General features: G+C 37.0%; 1 protein-coding gene and 1 long non-coding RNA gene across 26 annotated transcripts in view; one reads left to right on the top strand and one right to left on the bottom strand.

Annotated features, from left to right (window-relative positions):
* Positions 1-19114, top strand: part of GRM8 (glutamate metabotropic receptor 8) — an 814344-nt gene that overhangs the window by 714830 nt on the left and 80400 nt on the right. For all 24 annotated transcript variants that reach the window (NR_163850.1, NR_163849.1, NR_028041.1 and 21 more), the window contains one exon: positions 4225-5160. Coding sequence is in view for 21 of the 24 variants with exons in the window: in NM_001371087.1 (NP_001358016.1) it covers positions 4225-5160 (936 nt within the window). In the remaining 3 variants the exon portion in view is untranslated. The remainder of the gene's footprint in view (positions 1-4224; positions 5161-19114) is intronic.
* The window catches only part of LOC101928357 (uncharacterized), a 41965-nt gene continuing 23686 nt past the window's right edge, over positions 836-19114 (bottom strand). Inside the window, exons 1-3 of one of the 2 annotated variants that reach the window (XR_927936.3) lie at positions 4264-4352; positions 3269-3360; positions 836-2387 (exon numbers count right to left, since the gene is read on the bottom strand). This is a non-coding gene — a long non-coding RNA (uncharacterized LOC101928357). Of the gene's footprint in view, positions 2388-3268; positions 3361-4263; positions 4353-19114 lie in introns of those variants that run through there. The other variant, XR_927937.3, reaches the window with a different exon arrangement.

The raw sequence follows: 19114 nt of genomic DNA, 5'->3' as shown, positions 1-19114 counted from the left end.
ATAAATCACTATTGGTAAACATTGTCAAGATAAGAATGGGCCATTTTTTTGTCCCTGGAAGATCTATCTATATAACTATCCTCCATTTGTTATACCATGTATTTCAGACTGAAAACGTCTTAATAACAGAATAATACCAAAGGTGAGGAAGGCAAATTTTAAAAATATATGGTTAAGGCATCTCTTTATACTTATAATGAAAGATGGTATAATTTGTTAATATAGCAATAAACAGGGTTGAATAATCTTTGTTTATGCTTTGTAACAGTTGTGGAAATTAGGCAGTTTTCACTTTCAAATAGTGTTTTTTTTGTTTGTTTGTTTGTTTGTTTTTTTTGACGGAGTCTCGCTCTGTCACCCAGGCTGGAGTGCGGTGGCGTGATCTCGGCTTACTGCAAGCTCCGCCTCCCGGGTTCACAGCATTCTCCTGCCTCAGCCTCCCAAGTAGCTAGGACTACAGGCACCTGCCACCATGCCCGGCTAATTTTTTTGTATTTTTAGAAGAGACAGGGTTTTACCGTGTTGGCCAGGATGGTCTCGATCTCCTGACCTTGTGATCCGCCTGCCTTGGCCTCCCAAAGTGCTAGGATTACAAGCTTGAGCCACCACGTCCGGTCCAAATAGTGTTGGTTTTAATCATCATTTAGCAACTATGTAAAATAAGTTGTTAGTCTCAAATATTACTGTATTTGTAAGATCCTTGTTCAAGCATTTGTTATTTGTCCTTTCTTGAAGTGGATACTAGTTGGTTTTCAGACTTTAGCTATGAAATCAATTCACAGCATAGTTTAACAAAGATTCCTTGATGAAAATTAAGTCATGCATATTTAGCATGCATATTTAACATATTTATTAAAACATAATCTGTAAACTATAACATTACAGTCTCCTTTATAATAAAAATGTTACACATATTGCTTATTTTTTTACTTAAAGAAAATTCATAGCTGTTAAAAAACTGGTATTTTTCATATTCTTACAACTTTATTTTTAATTTATGAAAAACGTTTTTTCATTGGTTCAAAACATTAAAAAATTGTCAAGGAAAATTTCACATTTAGCTTATAATGATAAATAGTTATCCTATGTAATGAAACCTACCGAGTATAGGTACATTTCTTTTTTAACACATCTTATGTTGTTCTGAGAAGTAAAGCATATTGAGAATTAAAGCTTCCGACATGTGGTTAGAGAAACTGACCTTTAAGGTTTCTTGAAGTTTAATGTTTCCAATTTTTTTTTGCTGTTTTTCATTTTTTGTTTTGTTTTGTTTTGTTTTGTGTTTTTTGAGCAGGAACACTGTAAATCTATGGAAGTTCCCAACAAAATGCAATTTTGTTTCTATAGTAATTAGCTTTTAAATATAACCTTCAAAAATGTATTTTCTTATCTTATGAGTCCCTTAGGTTGTAAAGTTAATTCCTGAAGCACCCAGTGGAGCATTTCATTTTTTTTCTCAGTATTTTTGAAAGAAATCACTGTGTGCTTCCATTTACCTTTATTTCTTTCTTCCTGTAATCTTATAAGTAAATAAAATATAATATTTTTAAGTCATTAAAACCCAATAAGAAACTAGAGGGTTATAATAGATTACATTTCCTTTGTAGTGAGCTGACAGGATAGATCTAATAGTCTCAAATGCCCTGATGACATATGACAGATGAAGTAGCATCTACTTTCTCAAGGGAGGATATCTGAAATTAAAGACACAAAGTCTCTACTCTGAGGAGATTCGACAGCCCTCTAAAAGGATAGAGCTTGAAGACTACAGTTCTCTGGCCTCAACCATTCACCCTAGATTCAAGAAAGGAAAGCATTCTTAAGTAATTGTTCATGAGAACGATTTCAGTCACCTGATTGTCAAAGAGTAAGCCACCATAAGAATGATGAAGGAATATTGCTAAAGCTACATACTTCGGGCTGCTTTGGAAGTATACAGTCGCTGTCCCTGGGTGTGCCTTCTGGATAGATAACTACACTGATATTAAAATGAAAGTGGCCACCAAGTAGCTAAGTTTAATTTGAGCTGCATTCATTTTCTGTTGTTGCAGAACAAATAACTCCAAAATGTAGCAGTTTAAAACAATAAACATCATCTCACAACATTTCCGTAAATCAGAAATTCAGGAACAGGTTAGCTGTGTTTTCCTGGCTCAGGGTCTCTCATGAGTTTGTATTCAAGATGTCATTCAGATGTCACCTGAAGGCTTGACTGGAGCCAGATGATGACTTTCTAGGTGGCTCCTTCACACGCATGGGAAGTTGGTGCTTGTTGTGGACAGGAGGCCTCCATTCTTTCCACAGGGCTGCTGAGAGTTTTCATGATGAGGTAGGAGGGACTTGGCTCTGGAGGTGGGACTTGGACACTGGACCAAACTGAGGACTAGCTAAAACAGGGACAGGACAGAAGCAGCTTCCCGTAAGACATGCCCACCATTGCCATGGCAGTTACAGCCTCTTTCCATGGCAGCGACCTGCAACCTAGTAGTTATTACCTTTTTCCTAGAAATTTCTGCATAATCCACCCCTTACTCTGCATGCAATTGAAAGTAGGTATAAACACAATTGCAGAACTGCCCTGAGCTGCTGCTCTCTGCCTGCTGCTCCTGCTCTGCAGGAACAGTCATGGAGCTATAATTGCTGCTTCAATAAAGCTGTTTTCTTCTAACCACCATCAGCTTGCCCTTGAATTCTTTCCTGGGTGGAGCCAAGAATTCTGGCAGGCTTGGTCCCACTTTGGGGCTCGTCTGTCCTGCATCAGTGACACTGGAGTGCTTCCACTCGAGTGAATTATCCAGCAGAGAGCAAGGCCGAAACCAAAATGCCTTTTATGACCTGGCCTCAGAAGAGACGTATCATCATTTCTGGAATATACTATTGTTTACACAGACTAGCCCTATTCAAAGTGGCAGCGGGCCACAGGAGTACATCAATTTTCAGAAGTGAGGTTATTGGGGGCCACGGTGGAGACTGACTACCACACAGTATAGTAATTCTTTTGGATTATTAGTAAAGGCGAACTTATGAAAATAAGTTGTTCTTTTTTTCTGAAACATTCCTTCATCTCCCTTTGCTGTGCCTCTTGAGTACCCTCTATTTCCATATCCCAGTACTTCCAAGCTGTCTCCTTATTCCTCAGGGCTCTGCTCTAGTGCCTTTCCCATCCTTTCTCCCTCATGAATTCAACAAATATGTATCGAGGGCAAATTGTATGCCAGTCACTGTTTGTTCACACCAGTGAAAAAATTACTCACTTCATAGAGCTTACCTTTTATAGTAGCTGCTTTTCATAGTAAGTGGTCTCCCGTCATCTGTAATTTTCAGTTTTGTCCTATTAGCATTCTGCTAAAATTACTGTGTCTAATAAGAAAAGCAAATTAAAGGTAAGAGATCAATGATTGGTGCTGTCTCTTTCACGAACTGCTTGTATCTCGATAGAGTTATTCTATGATTTAACCTGAAAGCATAAGGTTGGATTTTAAGGCCCTGAAGCGATACTAAGCAAAGTGGGGAAAATCTCATTTGTACTAATTTCCCTGCTTTAAATCACCATAGGGCCACTTTCGTTCAGTAAAAAAAACATTACCATCAAGTTATCTCATTCAGCATGGTGTTTTGCACAACATGGAAATGCAAGACTGAAGAAAAAAAGGATATTTCAAGCCTAAACAGGGGCAAAACACATTAATATAGTTATCTCCATGAACACATGAGGAAAGTCAGAGATTAACTCATTTTGCCATTTCCTTTCAAAATTGATGCAGTGTGATTTGAATTTCCCTAAGTATGGTAGAAAGACATGGATCATCTTTTATATATGTTTATATCCTAGCCCAGTGTTTCAGGGATTCTGGCATTTATATTTGTGATTAACTCTAAAGCATCTTTCTACGGGGCTTCTTCTTATTTTTTTGTATTTTATTTTTTTTAGTTTTAAAACTGTTTTGACCAATAAATCTCTCTCCAGATGTCACATTGGTCAGCAATGAGGAGGTAAATGGAAACTAATGACACTCATCAAGTTGATGAGGTGAATGATATATTGGATCCAGTCACTTAACACTTTCATAAAGTCAATATCAGGGGAAAAAAAACGAGACTCTTATTATGGTAAACTGTATTTGTACTGTCAGCATTCTGTGATTCATTACAAACCCGTGGCTAGGATTAGGATATTATAAATGGGGGAAAAATGGAAGGCTCATTAATTTTTTATACCCACAGGTGGAAGACATGCAGTGGGCTCATAGAGAACATACTCACCCGGCGTCTGTCTGCAGCCTGCCGTGTAAGCCAGGGGAGAGGAAGAAAACGGTGAAAGGGGTCCCTTGCTGCTGGCACTGTGAACGCTGTGAAGGTTACAACTACCAGGTGGATGAGCTGTCCTGTGAACTTTGCCCTCTGGATCAGAGACCCAACATGAACCGCACAGGCTGCCAGCTTATCCCCATCATCAAATTGGAGTGGCATTCTCCCTGGGCTGTGGTGCCTGTGTTTGTTGCAATATTGGGAATCATCGCCACCACCTTTGTGATCGTGACCTTTGTCCGCTATAATGACACACCTATCGTGAGGGCTTCAGGACGCGAACTTAGTTACGTGCTCCTAACGGGGATTTTTCTCTGTTATTCAATCACGTTTTTAATGATTGCAGCACCAGATACAATCATATGCTCCTTCCGACGGGTCTTCCTAGGACTTGGCATGTGTTTCAGCTATGCAGCCCTTCTGACCAAAACAAACCGTATCCACCGAATATTTGAGCAGGGGAAGAAATCTGTCACAGCGCCCAAGTTCATTAGTCCAGCATCTCAGCTGGTGATCACCTTCAGCCTCATCTCCGTCCAGCTCCTTGGAGTGTTTGTCTGGTTTGTTGTGGATCCCCCCCACATCATCATTGACTATGGAGAGCAGCGGACACTAGATCCAGAGAAGGCCAGGGGAGTGCTCAAGTGTGACATTTCTGATCTCTCACTCATTTGTTCACTTGGATACAGTATCCTCTTGATGGTCACTTGTACTGTTTATGCCATTAAAACGAGAGGTGTCCCAGAGACTTTCAATGAAGCCAAACCTATTGGATTTACCATGTATACCACCTGCATCATTTGGTTAGCTTTCATCCCCATCTTTTTTGGTACAGCCCAGTCAGCAGAAAAGGTAAGTAGAAGGAAATACACTTGACAACTTTTTCCTGGATTTAACATCTTCTTTTAGGATGCTTTTCCTCCTTTTATTTGGTTCACTTATATTCTCTAAAGATGCTTCAGTCTGTGCTATTCTTACTTAGCATGCATATATATATATATATATATATATATATATATATATATATATATATATATATCTCCATCCGTCAAGGTCACATTGCTTTGAATTTGTGTTGACAAAGCCTGATTTTCCATGAAAAACACTTTAATGTGTCCTCCTTGGCAAGGTTGAAGATTGACAAAGCTCACATCACTTTCTGAGTCTCCCTTCCCAGCTCTGCTATCTGCTAACATCACTGTTCTTTTCCAAATGTTAATTAAAAGAAGGAGGAAGAAAGGGCAGACATGGTTCACAGGGGTGAGCTGTCCCCGAGATATGCCACTGCATGACAAATGCCTTCTTTTTTGTTCTAAAGTAACTCTGGGATAAAGCCATTGCTTGGTAATTGTGATGATTTTAGTCATGGAAGCAGAGTTTATAGTGAAATAATCACACACACGTATAAAAACTGAATGGCTTCGTTCAGTCTGAACCATCTTACTATTTCTTCTCAGTCCCCATTCTTGTTACTTTTTCATATGTGGAAGTTGATGATGAGGGTAAAGAAGGCAATCATGGACAATTATATAAAGCAGCTTATAAATTTTAGAAGGCAAAGATCAATGGACTCCCCCAAAGTAATTTCTTTTGTCACTAATCTCTTGTTAATGTTTTCCACATAAAATACTGCTGGTAAAGAATATCTGTATAGGAAGGGAGTGTTTGCTGGGTTGGATGTTGTAGTTCTATGTACAGAAAAGCAGAGAACTAAGGGAACTCTGAATTCCACTTTTCGGGTAGTGGGATGGAGATAAACCAGCTTGAAAAACAGAGGAGAATGCTGTATTTCTGTAATGATAGCCCTTCTGCCCTGATGGGCATGTGAGAGAGTCCTTTCAGAGTGAGGACTTGATTGTTCCATCCTCTGACACCAGAAATTGTGAGAAAAATGAAACGTCATGGGGTAATTACATTTCCCAGGCTATAACATTCCAAGGAGGTTCTGCATGACCCAGCAGAAAATCCCAGCAAATTCACAGAAAATTTCCACAACAACGGGACAGAAAGCTCATTAGTATGAGTATTCATCCCTTCCTCAATCAATGTGGCCTTCAACTATTTTTGGACAAATAATGTACTTCAGCAAACTTGCTGCTGAAGAGAATAAACTTGTGATTCTATTAAATAGGTTTTTTGAAGGAAAATTTTACAAAATAACCATTTTCTCTCAGAACAATAACATTGCAGAGTTGTAGAGGCCCCCTGAGGAGCAGTGATGAAGATAAGAATTTCACAGTGAAATGGACACATGAATATGCCAGAGGGTGGAGGTTGCCCTGTGTTGCTGAGACTGTGGGAGGTGTTCATTTGAAAACCTGGGGGTTATGCATAATTTTATGGGTGTCTATATAGCTATGCCTATGCAGATATGATTGAGTGTGGCTTGCAAAATTCCTTTTTCTTTCTTAGCTTTCTGAAATCAAACTAAATCTAAGAAGCACACTGAAAGACACATTATAAAATATGTTAATGGATTCATTTTGTATTTATAATATAGTTGAATGTGAAAAAGGCTAAAGAAATCAATTAAGAAATGCTAACTCTAGGAATTTTGAGAATATTTTAGAGCCCACAAATTATTTAGTCATGGAAATGTTGAATTTAAGTTAGCTCTACATCAAGGGCTATCATATTATAAATAGCTAAGATTTTGGTACTGAGGTACTTCACATTATAAAATTTTGTATTATCCTAAATCTACATCTGAAAATTTGCTACCTGCTATTCTCTGTCCAAGTTTCTTTTATTATTCAAGACAATACATAAAATGACAAGCCTGGGAAACATAACAAGACCCTATCTCTACAATAATAAAAATAAAAAAATTAGCCGGGCATGGTGTCGTGCACCTATAGTCCAAGCTGTTCAGGAGGCTGAGACAGCAGGGATTGTTTGAGCCCAGGAGTTCAAGGTTATAGTGAGCTAGGATCATGCCACTGCCCTACAGGCTGGGAAGCAGAGTGAGACCTGGTCTCTACCAAAAAAAATAAATAAATGCTTGAGAATGTTTAAGTTTTCACATTGCTTAAATTATTGACATGAATATTAAAAATGAACAAAACTTGTATATCTCTATAAGAAGGCTTTAAATGTTGTATTGACCTTGGAGGACCAAAGAGCTGGTCAGTCCTCCATTTTCTTTTGTACTGTTCAGACAATCAGCCCCATGTTATCAACTTGAATTGTTTACTACAGCTAGCTAGCACACACATCCATTAACCCAGCAGCTCCTTATTGAGCATTGTGTCCGGCATTGAACTAATTATTGAGCCCATGTCAGTCGGCTTCCCTGAGCCTCCTTTGCAAGGCTGAGTCTGGCTCCCAGCCCATGCCTTCATGATGCCTGCCGGCACCAGCAAGGTGCCAGGCTCAAAGTCAGAAAAGGATCAGGCTCAAGGGCGGGGGAAGATGGTGAGGGGTCAGATCTGTGATGAGAAAGAAAACAATAGAACTGTGCATTCTGCAGCTGTGCATTGGTGACACCGAATTTCCAACATGTAGAAGAGCAAAATGTCTTCCAGTATGCATTTAATTGTTTCTTCTCAGAATAACGTCAGAGAATGCATCGAACCACACAGGTCTCTCTGAAATTACAAGAAGCAAGAATAACAACTAAACTTAGTTGAAAAGTTTAGACAGATGTTTTGGAAAACATTTGGGTAAAATGAAGTTATAAAGGACACTTGTAGCAGTTATGAAGACAGAGAGCTTTCTGAAGTGCCTTTATTCAATGATATATCATTTAACTTCCCCACATTCCTTTGTCCTCTGTTTTTGAATGAATCATTTTGAATGAATCAAGATGAATCATTTTTCCCAATAGATTTTAATAACATCATTTGTAACTACTGCTGAATTCAACTAAATTATGGTATAAATGCACCTTTGGTTTCCCTATAGAAAAGTGGTGTGAAGGAAGGGTAGACCACTGAGGCATGGCCATGCAATAACACAAACTCACATAATTGTACTGAAAAGAGAAAAAAATTAAAATGTGATTAATAGTCAGGAGAAGTATCCTTAGGGATGGTAAGGGGCTGTAAGGATGGCAGAAATCTCTAAAACACATATTTTATCATCCTTAATTGGGCTCATAAAATCGAGATAATCAGACAAGGGTTATGACACTGTCAACCTCCAATGAGCACTCTGCCTCTTCTAGAGCATCCGATGGAAACAAAACAAAACACCCTCAAAGTGGAAAAGAAAATAAAACTCAAAAAGGCAAAAAAAGAAAAGAAAAGAAAAAACCTCCAATAAATCTCAAACCAGATTTTCTTCCAGTGGCCTCAGGATGCATAGCAGCTTAAGTCAGAAAGCTGGTTGTCACCTTAGACTCCTCCCTCTACTCACTCCTGCCCCTTTACTTTACTTCCTCTTCTTACTTTTAAAAGTCATCGTTGTTGTGGACAATAAGCAATGTCTGTCTGAATGAATATGTCTCTTAACATATAGCTCTTCTTATAGTCCATTCTCAATAAATGCCTATTCAATGAGCTAATATTAATGATATAATAATATAAATGCGTATTTGTGATTTAAGTTAGACTATAGCACAATGGGAATCTTCTGTAGGCATCTTATTGTAATCTCCATTATAACAATTTTTTTTTTCTGAAAAAAATGGTTTCCCATTTAATGATGGGTCATGTAGATTTTTTTCTAAAAAGTTGTCATTATCACTTATTCTCAAATAGGACTACTACATGTTTAAAGAGAAGAGCAAGCAAGAATTATTATAGTTGTCCTTTGTTTCATCCAGAATTCACAAAGCAAAGGAGAATTGATGCAACTATTGAGATACTTTTGCCATATCACCCCTCTTGTTCTTTTTCTCTATTTATCTACCTTAGGGGCAGAAGAGTGTAGGGGTACACAGGTGTGCCAGTGGAGTAAGAAAGAGCATAAGCTCCTGAATGTGAAATCTTGGGTTCAAATCCTGTGTCTGCTAAATAGCTGAGAAAACATGGGCAAGTGGCTATGTATCTATAGGTGGTAATGAGTTCCCCCTGGACAATACAAATTCCAATACAAAGCAATGTAAAGCAACCCCCTGCCATCACCCCCAGCCCTGTTCTCGAACTAGAGAAGACTTGAGTTCATATATTCTGGGGAAAAGCAGGAAAAGGGTTGATTATTTAAAATAAATACAAACACACACACACACACACACACACACACACACAACTTCTTTTGTCTCTGTATGGTGTGTTTTTTTGTACTAATAACTCATATTTATTTTGCTGAAAGTTAGATGACAGGAGTCATGAAAAGTGTTTCATGCACATAATAGGCAGTGAATAAATGTTGGCTATCATCACCATTAGGCTGTTACCCATGAGGGCAAGGACTTTATTTGATTTTGCTCACCATTTTCTCTTCAGCACTCAGCATAATATTGAGTCTGTAATAGGTTCTTTAAAAAATATTTGTTTAATGACTGAATATATTCGAATGAATTGCGTAGGAGGATGTGATTTGATTTATCCAAGTAATTGTCTCAATTTCACCTGCCATTTAGACCATATCTGAGCAGACCCCCAACTGAAAGTGTTTTCTTATTTTGTTGTTGTTGTTGTTGTCGTTGTTTTTTGAGATGGAGTCTTGCTCTGCTCTGTCACCAGGCTGGAGTACAGTGGCACTACCTCGGCTCACTGCAACCTCTGCCTTCAGGGTTCAAGTGATTCTTCTGCCTCAGCCTCCCAAGTAACTGGGACTACAGGCACACGCCACCACTCCCAGCTAATTTTTGTATTTTTAATAGAGACGGGGTTTCACCATGTTGGCCAGGATGGTCTCAATCTCTTGACCTCATGATCCGCCCGCCTTAGCCTCCCAAAATGCTGGATTACAGGCATGAGCCACTGCACCCGGCCTGAAAGTGTTTTCTTAAACATAGAGGCTTGCCCGAAGAGTAGATCTTACAGATTACAGCAGTTAAAGAGGGCTGTGAGGGAGAGAAGAATCTGGAGCATTTGGAGAGAGGACAGAGTTGTTCCTGAGGCAGTGTGTACCTGCCTTCAAATATTTAACAGACAATACTGGAAGAAAAAAAATATCATCAGAGAGCAGTTGCTGAAATCTTTGTATTATAATTTGGAATGTGAATAATTCTAATATTCGAGAGGTAGTTTGGAGATTAGTAATAAAATTCCTGCTCTAAGGAATAGTCCAGATGAGAAAAGAACAGCCTGAAAATCCTGCGGAAATAGTGTCAATAACCTGGACAAGGATGGAAGAGATTTGCAGAATAGATCAAACTGGAGGAAAATTTTCAGCTGTACCTTGTCTCCTGACATTTCTCCATTTCCTTAAAGGAGGGCAGTAAAAATGATTATCAGTATCCACATTGTATGTTTGTAATCGTTAATCACTGCATATAACTATCTTAGGCTACCTGTTGGTAAACTATATACCATTTTCTTTTCTTTTCTTTTCTTTTTGAGATGAAGTCTCGCTCTGTTGCCCAGGCTGGAGTGCAGTGGCGCCATCTTGGCTCACTGCAACATCTGCCTCCCAGGTTCAAGCGATTCTCTTGCCTCAGCCTCTCAAGTAGCTAGGATTACAGATGTGCACCACTATGCCCAGCTAATTTTGTATTTTTAGTAGAGATGGGGTTTCACCATATTGGCCAGGCTGGTCTCAAACTCCTGACCTCAAATGATCCACCCGCCTCGGCCTCCCAAAGTGCTGGGATTACAGGCGTGAGCCACCGCGCCCAGCCAACTATATAACATTTTCTTTCCTTGTCAGTTCACAGTCATTTGAAGCAGATCCTTTTTAACGGTGCCACATTACAGAACTATTTAATGTATTACGGTCGATTTTTTGTGGACAAGATCAATTATACCAGACTGTTGCAATCTGCTCTGGAAGGGGGAAGTAAATTTTAAAAAAACTGGAAAAGAAAGCATTTATGTGGCCTCATTTATGCTCTTAATTTAAATGATATGCTTGTGAAGATTCAGAGGAAGCATGGAATTCTCATGTAGGGCACATGCAGGCAGGACTGCCAAGTGGCTCTCCTAGGGAATGCTGCCTTATATAAGTTTTTGTTTTTGTTTTTTCTGATTGTGCTACATATTAATCCTGCAGAAAATTACCAACTTTAACATTTGGAGGAATTCTTTTGGGGGAAGCCATCTTCTTTGATAGCACAAATAAATATTTGCTCAATGAATCTTTTTAGATTACACATCCTACTTTTGGGGGTTCTGAGGAAGCTGTGGGGCTGAAGATTACTTAATTTAAGTGTTGATTATTAGTGACATTGTGGTATTTTTCAATTGAAATTGAGTTTACAAACAGTTTGAATTCTCTGCCCAAATTACAATAATTTATGCAACTAGACCACTGGATATTCAGCCTGGGAACTTAGAGCTAGAGCTAACACATCGAAATGGTTGAACTTTCTGAATATGATTGAAAAATCCTGAGGTACTAGATTTGATTAAGACTGAAATGTGAATATTTTCAGATTTCAGTGACCATGACTTTATGTTAAAATGCTTTAGGAGAATATCATATACACAAACCTAATCTTTTCTATACAGACAGAACCTTAATGACACCCAGGACTATTGATAATACAGAATGTAGTGACTGATTTACTTACTATGATTTTGTAAGACACTTTTTATGCTTCAGTAGATGCTTATCTCTCATGGAACATACAGGGTGCCAGGAAGAACAGATTGCAAGCAAACAGTTCCTTTTGGCTGTAACCACATATATATATATTTTTTATGTTGAGAAATGTAAAAGAAAAATCTAAATGTGGTATCATATGGGTTAGTACCACCTACCTTAAAGTGTGGAAAAAATATTTAACCAAGTATTAATATATATTCCGGGCTATCTAAAATAAATTCGAAACAGATTTATTTGAATAATTAAAAGAAATATGTAAAAAGAAATTTAATCTGGTTTCTGGTTCAAGATAATGGCTGGCACAAAGACACATGTATGTCCTCCATCTAAGGTAACAAGTAAATGACAAAAATAATGAGATTTTAAAAAAGAAAGAAGACTAGAAGGAAAGGAGAAAGAGAGGGAGAGAGAATGAGAGGAAGCCATTATATTGTTAGAACAAACATTTGGTAAAACTGAGAAACTCTCAGAAAGTAAAAGCCAGTTGGGTCTGATTTATGGAGAAATTCAAAGAAGGGAAGCACAACCCAAGATGCATAAGTGGTTCTTACTATAAAAGTCCCAAATAATTTCCAAACCTAAAGTCAACATAAAGTCCTGAAGCAGGCATCAGAGTGACCATTAGGGAAATATTTAAAGAACTGCATTTCAGGAGATATGGGCCAGCTGGGCTCCTCACTTCCCCTTTCTGCTCCAACCTTAATGTAGAAAGAGTTCCAGTTAAAAGAAAGAACTCTGAAAAATGGGAATTATGTGAGGACAGAGGACTTCTGTACCTATAAGGCACTGAAAGAGAAAGGGCAGGATTGGAAGTGATTTTATTTCAGATATGGCCAGGGGGAATAGGAAATACAGCTCTACCTAGGATAAGAATATAAGTTTCTCAACTCTTAGAACAGGTTTCTCCTGGGGTAAGTTCCAGGCTGCTTGCTTGCCAATATCCATGCATCTTTAAGAGAAGCGAGCCAGGTAAAACAATCACTAAACTCACAAGTTCATAGTCAGCCCTCTCAAACAAAGAAAACAGACCCCACCAGTAATCTTTGTCATGCAACCTGGTCCTCCCATTATAATTCTACATCAACAGCTAAGGATGGCAGGATTAACTGCAGAAAACCCAGAGCAGAATTTTAAAACACTAAAAAAGAAACAAAACAGCATTAACTGACTCAAAAAAAAAATCCCACAGGTAATTCAGGAAATATAAGAAAATGTTCTTAAAAAACAATTTTAACTAGCATTTTAAGAGTGAATCAAGAAAATATTGAACACAGACCCATACACACACATGCAAGTGGCTATGGAAAATATCAGTCAGGGAATAAGCATATGATCCCAGAAACTAAAATTATGAATGTGAAAATAAAAAGCTGAACAGATGTGCTGAAACATAGAACCAGAGCAGAGATCTAGAGGGCAAAATAAAAGTCAGAACCAGAAAGAAAAGTGAAAAAAAGGAAAATATGAGGAAAAATTAAGACATGTTGAGCATAAATGCAAGATCCCAATATATATCTAATAAACATCCTAGAAGAGGAAACAGAGACAAAGAATGGAAATAACCTAAATACAAAAACAAAACAGAAGGAAGATTTCACAACTGAAGAAAGAAAATTCTTAAAATTGAAAAAATGGAAAGGGCCAAACATCTTAGTAAATTTTCACTAATTGACAGAAAATTCTAGGAACTTTTAGAAGGGAAAAAAAGATACCTACAAAGAATGAACATCAGATCTCATGTGCCTCCTTGAATTCTAAACAGAATTGAGCAAAGTCTTTCTTGAAGGAACCGTGTTTTAAACTTAAAATTCTATAGCCAACCAAACTATCAATCAATGTTAGGCTAAAAATGTAAATGGCCCAGAAAATCTGATGCCTACATATCTACATATGAATTATCCAAAAAAAGGCATGTCAGATATGAGACAGTAAGGCAGTGGCAATCACATATGATCCAGAAGGATTTTTTTTAACTTTTTGTTTAACTCGAGAAAGGATATATTAGACCCTGGTGGTTAATATATTCACAATATATTCATATATATCCATAATCCTTTAAAAACCAGGATTTTAATAATTATGCTTACTCCTTTTCTGCAAGTCCAGTTATGCTACCTGAATGAATCTGAAGGGAATAATATTTAGTAGCCATAATATAGTAATTGCTTTTTGAATTGATATTACGTTGTTAGAAGGAATCTAGAAACAAAATAGAGAAGTATTAATTTATCTACTAATGTAAGTAATGTAAATATTATACAAACAAATATTATCTACTAATGTGAGTAATGTAAATATTATACAAACCCTGTAAATCAAAAATAGTAATATAAATTTTAAAAATTGAGGGGTCTGGCCGGGCATGGTGGCTCATGCCTGTAATGCCAGCACTTCGGGAGGTCGAGGTGGGCAGATCGCTGAGGCCAAGAGTTCTAGACCAGCCTGGCCAACCTGGCGATACCGCATCTCCACTAAAAATACAAAAATTAGCCTGGCATGATTGCAGGTGCCTGTAATCCCACCTACTCTGAAGCCTGAGGCAGGAGAATAACTTGAACCTGGGAGATGGAGGCTGCAGCGAGCTGAGATTATGCGCACTGCACTCCAGCCTGGGTGACAGAGTGAGACTCTGTTTCAAAAAAAAAAAAAAAATTGAGAGGTCTGTGAAAAGGGACAATAGAGAGGGGACTTGTGCAAACACTAAATCACTCATCTTTTTCTGTGAGTAGCCAATAGATACTATCTAAAATTGGTAACTCAAGAGATATGAGTACATTCTTTACACAACAGGAAAAACAAAACAAAAAAACATTCAAACTCATTAATTCTATACAATGGGATCAGGAGATGTAAGATTATTCAAGTATAAATCATCGCATACAGAAGAATTTAAATGAAAGTCTCAAGAAAAACTTTTCTAAGACAACATAAAGGTACATTTTCATATTAGGGGCTTTTGATATATAATAAATTTTTAAAGAAAATCTTTGATGCAGGAATGGATGAATGATTTTGAATTTGTAAAATGACTCAAAATCTTTGGTTGACAAAAATCCTTTTTGAACGTCCTCTTCTTTAGGTTTAATACAATTGCTAAATAAATACTTTTCAATGGCCACAATTTAAGTGTCAGCTTATAGCTGATGATGGCATTTCATCAAAAGTATTTATTAAATGTTTGCTTTATGCAAAAACCTTTGTTTGGTATTCAGAAAAATGCAAAAATGAATAAGAAGTCATCAGATTTTTAAGGGTCAAGTCAGGGGGATAATACCAAGCACAGAAGTGACTGGTCAAGGCAGAGTAAGATAATGGAGGTGAAGTTCACAGTATGACGTCTTGGGACCAGGGATGGTGAACGGATGAAGAAACTGTCCATGAAGGAAGTGGGAATTTAAAAAGGCCTAAAAGAGGGAAAGGAACAGATGCAAACAGCCTCCTAGACAATAGAAATAGTGGGTTTACACTTTCAGAGAAGGGAAAGTTGGGCATTGTTTGTAAAACCTGTGACCAAAAACCTGTTTTAAGTTTAAGATAGCCACAAGGAGAACTGGGAGGCCACATATTCCTTTTTTCCTTGTTAATAACACACCTTTTCCACTGAAAAAGTATTTTCCAGTGTGGGCGAAAAATTATATGATTACTATAAAACAAGGATAGTCAGATAATTGGGAGTCATTTTATGAAGGGATTTATGCCATGTTTGTACTTCATTTGCTAGGGATTCGAGTATATTTAACCTTTTTGAGCATGAATATGTTCTCAGTACCATTATATTTTGGGAAATTTCTCTGCCAGTGGAGAGTCTGAAGAGTTGCAGGGGATGTGGATAAGAAAAAATAAAATAACAAGTTTGTTGAGGAAATCCAGGCAAGAAATATTGGGGGTTTGACATGTGGCGGTGGAAGTGGAAAGGAGAGGACTCATTTCAAGTTGAATTGGGAACAGAAGACAATGGAAAATGAGATGTTTGCAGTTTATGGCATGTGATTGTGCTTGTAATGTGCAACCTTCTTTGGGGCTGCTACAAGGTTTCTACCCAATTGGACTTCAAGGAAGAGTCATAGCTTTCTCTCTGGTCTGGACTAAAAGAGCAAACCAGTTTTTAAATGGCTAATGACTGCATCTAGACAAGTATGGAGAAGAATATTTGGGCTCAAAATAGTGAAAATTGGGTAAAAATCAATTTGTGTGGATAAAAGCAAAAGTAAAGATACACAGCATGAGTATCTGGTAGATTATGATTTTGAGTAAACAAATCTGCTAAATAATGTGGAAATGAATTTTGATAGTTGAAATAAAAGGCACATTCATTAGAAATAAAAGCCAAATTATTTGTAAATGATGCATCCAATTTAAATATATAATCAGTTTATTATATAAATTTGAAAGTTAAATGGATTTTATATTACAATGTGCTTGGGCAAATTTTAGAGTAATCTTTATTTTTACTATTTGTCATGGTCATGACCAAATTCACTAAATATTTTTTTCTTTACCACAACTCAGTTTTGTGTAATTTTGAGTGCCTTGCATATAAAATCAGAATTAGTCAATTTTCAATTATTCTGTTGTTTTTCTTTAAAATCATTTTTTAAAGTAATATATTGAGTCCATAAGGTAATCCGCAGGGTTCTGTATTTTGGCAGTGTTTTGAATCCTGTTAACAGGGACTAGTTTTCAACCAATCAAATAGCATCCACACTAATTGTAGGTTTTTGTGGGATTTTAGAAGAGGAATTAAGGTTACCATTTTGAAAAAAAAAATAGTTCAAAAATTGCAATCAGTTGAATGTTTTCACTTGGAATTTTAGACTCTCTATGTTATTTGTTCAGTCAAGTGTATCTTGGGAAAAATACCAAGAAATGTATTTTCTTTTGTCTGTTGGCTTAAATCCTATAGAATACAGCTTCCTCTATAACCTTTTTGAATATACACTAAGACTCAAATTACACACACGTATGTACTTATAGCTTCTGCAGAAGATTTCATGTTCTCAGATAAGATTAAATGTCATATGTTTCTCCTGGCAGCTGCTTTCTCTAAAATCCTCATCTACTCAAATTGAATTGAATTGAAAATAGTATTGGTAGATAGTGAGCCTGTCATAAACCCTTAAAGTGTTTACATCAGCAGGCAGCTTATCACTGTAGTGCTGTCCTTTCTTCAACAAAACATTTTCCCCATGCTAAAATGTCCAATCAAATGGCAATTTATCGAACACTTGGTTACACTGCCTATTTATTGTTAAGAACTGACAATAAAAAGCACGAAATAATTACATTCGAAATACAAAAGAAGAATATGTATAGAAGATGGCAAGAAGACTGGCAATGAGTAGAGGGAGTCACTACCATAGGATTATAACGTACATGTCTCCAAAGAAGGCCGTCAAATTACCTGTTTCCACCTCTCTTATTATTTTATATATTTTTTATGTATAGCGCAGGCATAGATTGGTGATTGCTAATGATATGTCCTCATTTTATATCTTCCCCTCCCCTGCACTCTGGGAAACCACATTGCTTTGAATCTTTTTGTTTCTTTGTCTTCTTTATCTCATCTTCCTTCTGTTCAAGTTGCCCCATTTTGGACTTTCTCCCAGGCACTATTCCCTTGACATTCTCATCATTCACATATCTCCTGCTAGAAAAGCTGCATTCGTGCTTTCCTCACTGCTTTCTTAATCTCTGCCCTTTTACGTGTTCAAAAATGTGAACTAAAACAATCCAAAACTGGGATCAGAAAGCAATCCAAAACCCAAATTGTGAAATTAAGCTATCTAAAACCCCAAATGTATCATGTTTAAAATGGTCACTATTCATTGAATGTTTCCTATCATGCCAAATCATGTTATTTATATTTAAACCATTTTCTTTTCTCTAAACTTCTTTTTAGAATAATAAAACCTTCTTTTTAGAAGTTTAGAGAAAAGAAGTTAAACTTCTTTTTAGACTTCTCTTCTTTTTTCCCCTGTTTAGACTCTGTCAACAAATTACAGTGTTTGTTTGAAATTTCTCCTAGATCTATGTTTTTCCTTCTCATTTCCAAGGTCAAATCTCCTTTTGTCCATAGGTCTCAGGCTTAAAACCTACCTTATGTTTCTCTGTTATGCTCAGTGTCTATTTTATTTCCTCCTTTCTATGTCAACATTATCTTTGTCTTTCAGAGATCCAGACTTGGAAGTTGACACCGACTTCTCTTCTTTTTACCCTGTTTAGACTCTGTCAACAAATTATAGTGTTTGTTTGAAATTTCTCCTAGATCTATTTTTTTCCTTCTCACTTCCAAGGTCAAATCTCTAGTCCACATCTGGGTGGAATCTGTTTAATTTTAAGATGCTTATTTTAGAAAAAAATTGCTAGCTACATAAGCACTGATCACTGTACTCGAAAGTGACTTCCAGATTTTTGCCATAAAGTTCTTGCACAACACTTCTTCTTTGTCACTTCTTTTAGATGAGATCAGGCACGTTCAGGGTGGTATGGCCGTAGACTGCCACTTCTTTTATAGTTACTCAATCAGTCCATTTTTGTTTTAACACCGTCATTCTGCTGAATACTAACAGCACTGTTTGAGCCAGAAGTGGCCTGCCATCGTGGAGCTTGAATTCTGTAGAAGAGACTTTTTTAAAGGGATAATTTAGTTACTCAGTAAAAATTGCTATGTGTACTCTCAGTGGTGCTATTAAGGGTTCTTAAAGTAAAATTAATTCCTATTGACTATTAGCTCAAATCCAAACTTTCCAAACTTTATTAATACCACTTTCATTTTGTTATACCACTCTTCATTTCAGTGAAACCAATTTTCTTATGAAATCAACTAATCCATGAAATCTTCCCTATTAATACAAGTTCTAAACACATATGTGCTCTATCTGGATGTCCATTATTTTACATTTCCAGATTTGTGTTCTGTGTTGTTCTTCAGTTATTTATGCAACTATGGTTGTATTTCCATTCAGCGATTCCTCAGGAAGAGATCATCATAATTCTTGTGCATTCTTCCCAACTCTCACTTCTTGCCAGCCCCACAATCCAAGTGCTTTGCAACTAGTTTTCAAGTACAAGGTTTTTGTTGAAATTGATAAAAAGAAAAGAAAAAGGGATAAACATTTTTAAGCCAATTCTGAGTTAATGTGTTCTAAAAAGT

This window comes from Homo sapiens, chromosome 7 (genome assembly GCF_000001405.40).
Source record: "Homo sapiens chromosome 7, GRCh38.p14 Primary Assembly".
Taxonomy (NCBI): domain Eukaryota; kingdom Metazoa; phylum Chordata; class Mammalia; order Primates; family Hominidae; genus Homo; species Homo sapiens.
The sequence above is the reverse complement of the archived record's forward strand: the minus strand, read 5'-3'. Positions and strand labels throughout refer to the sequence as shown.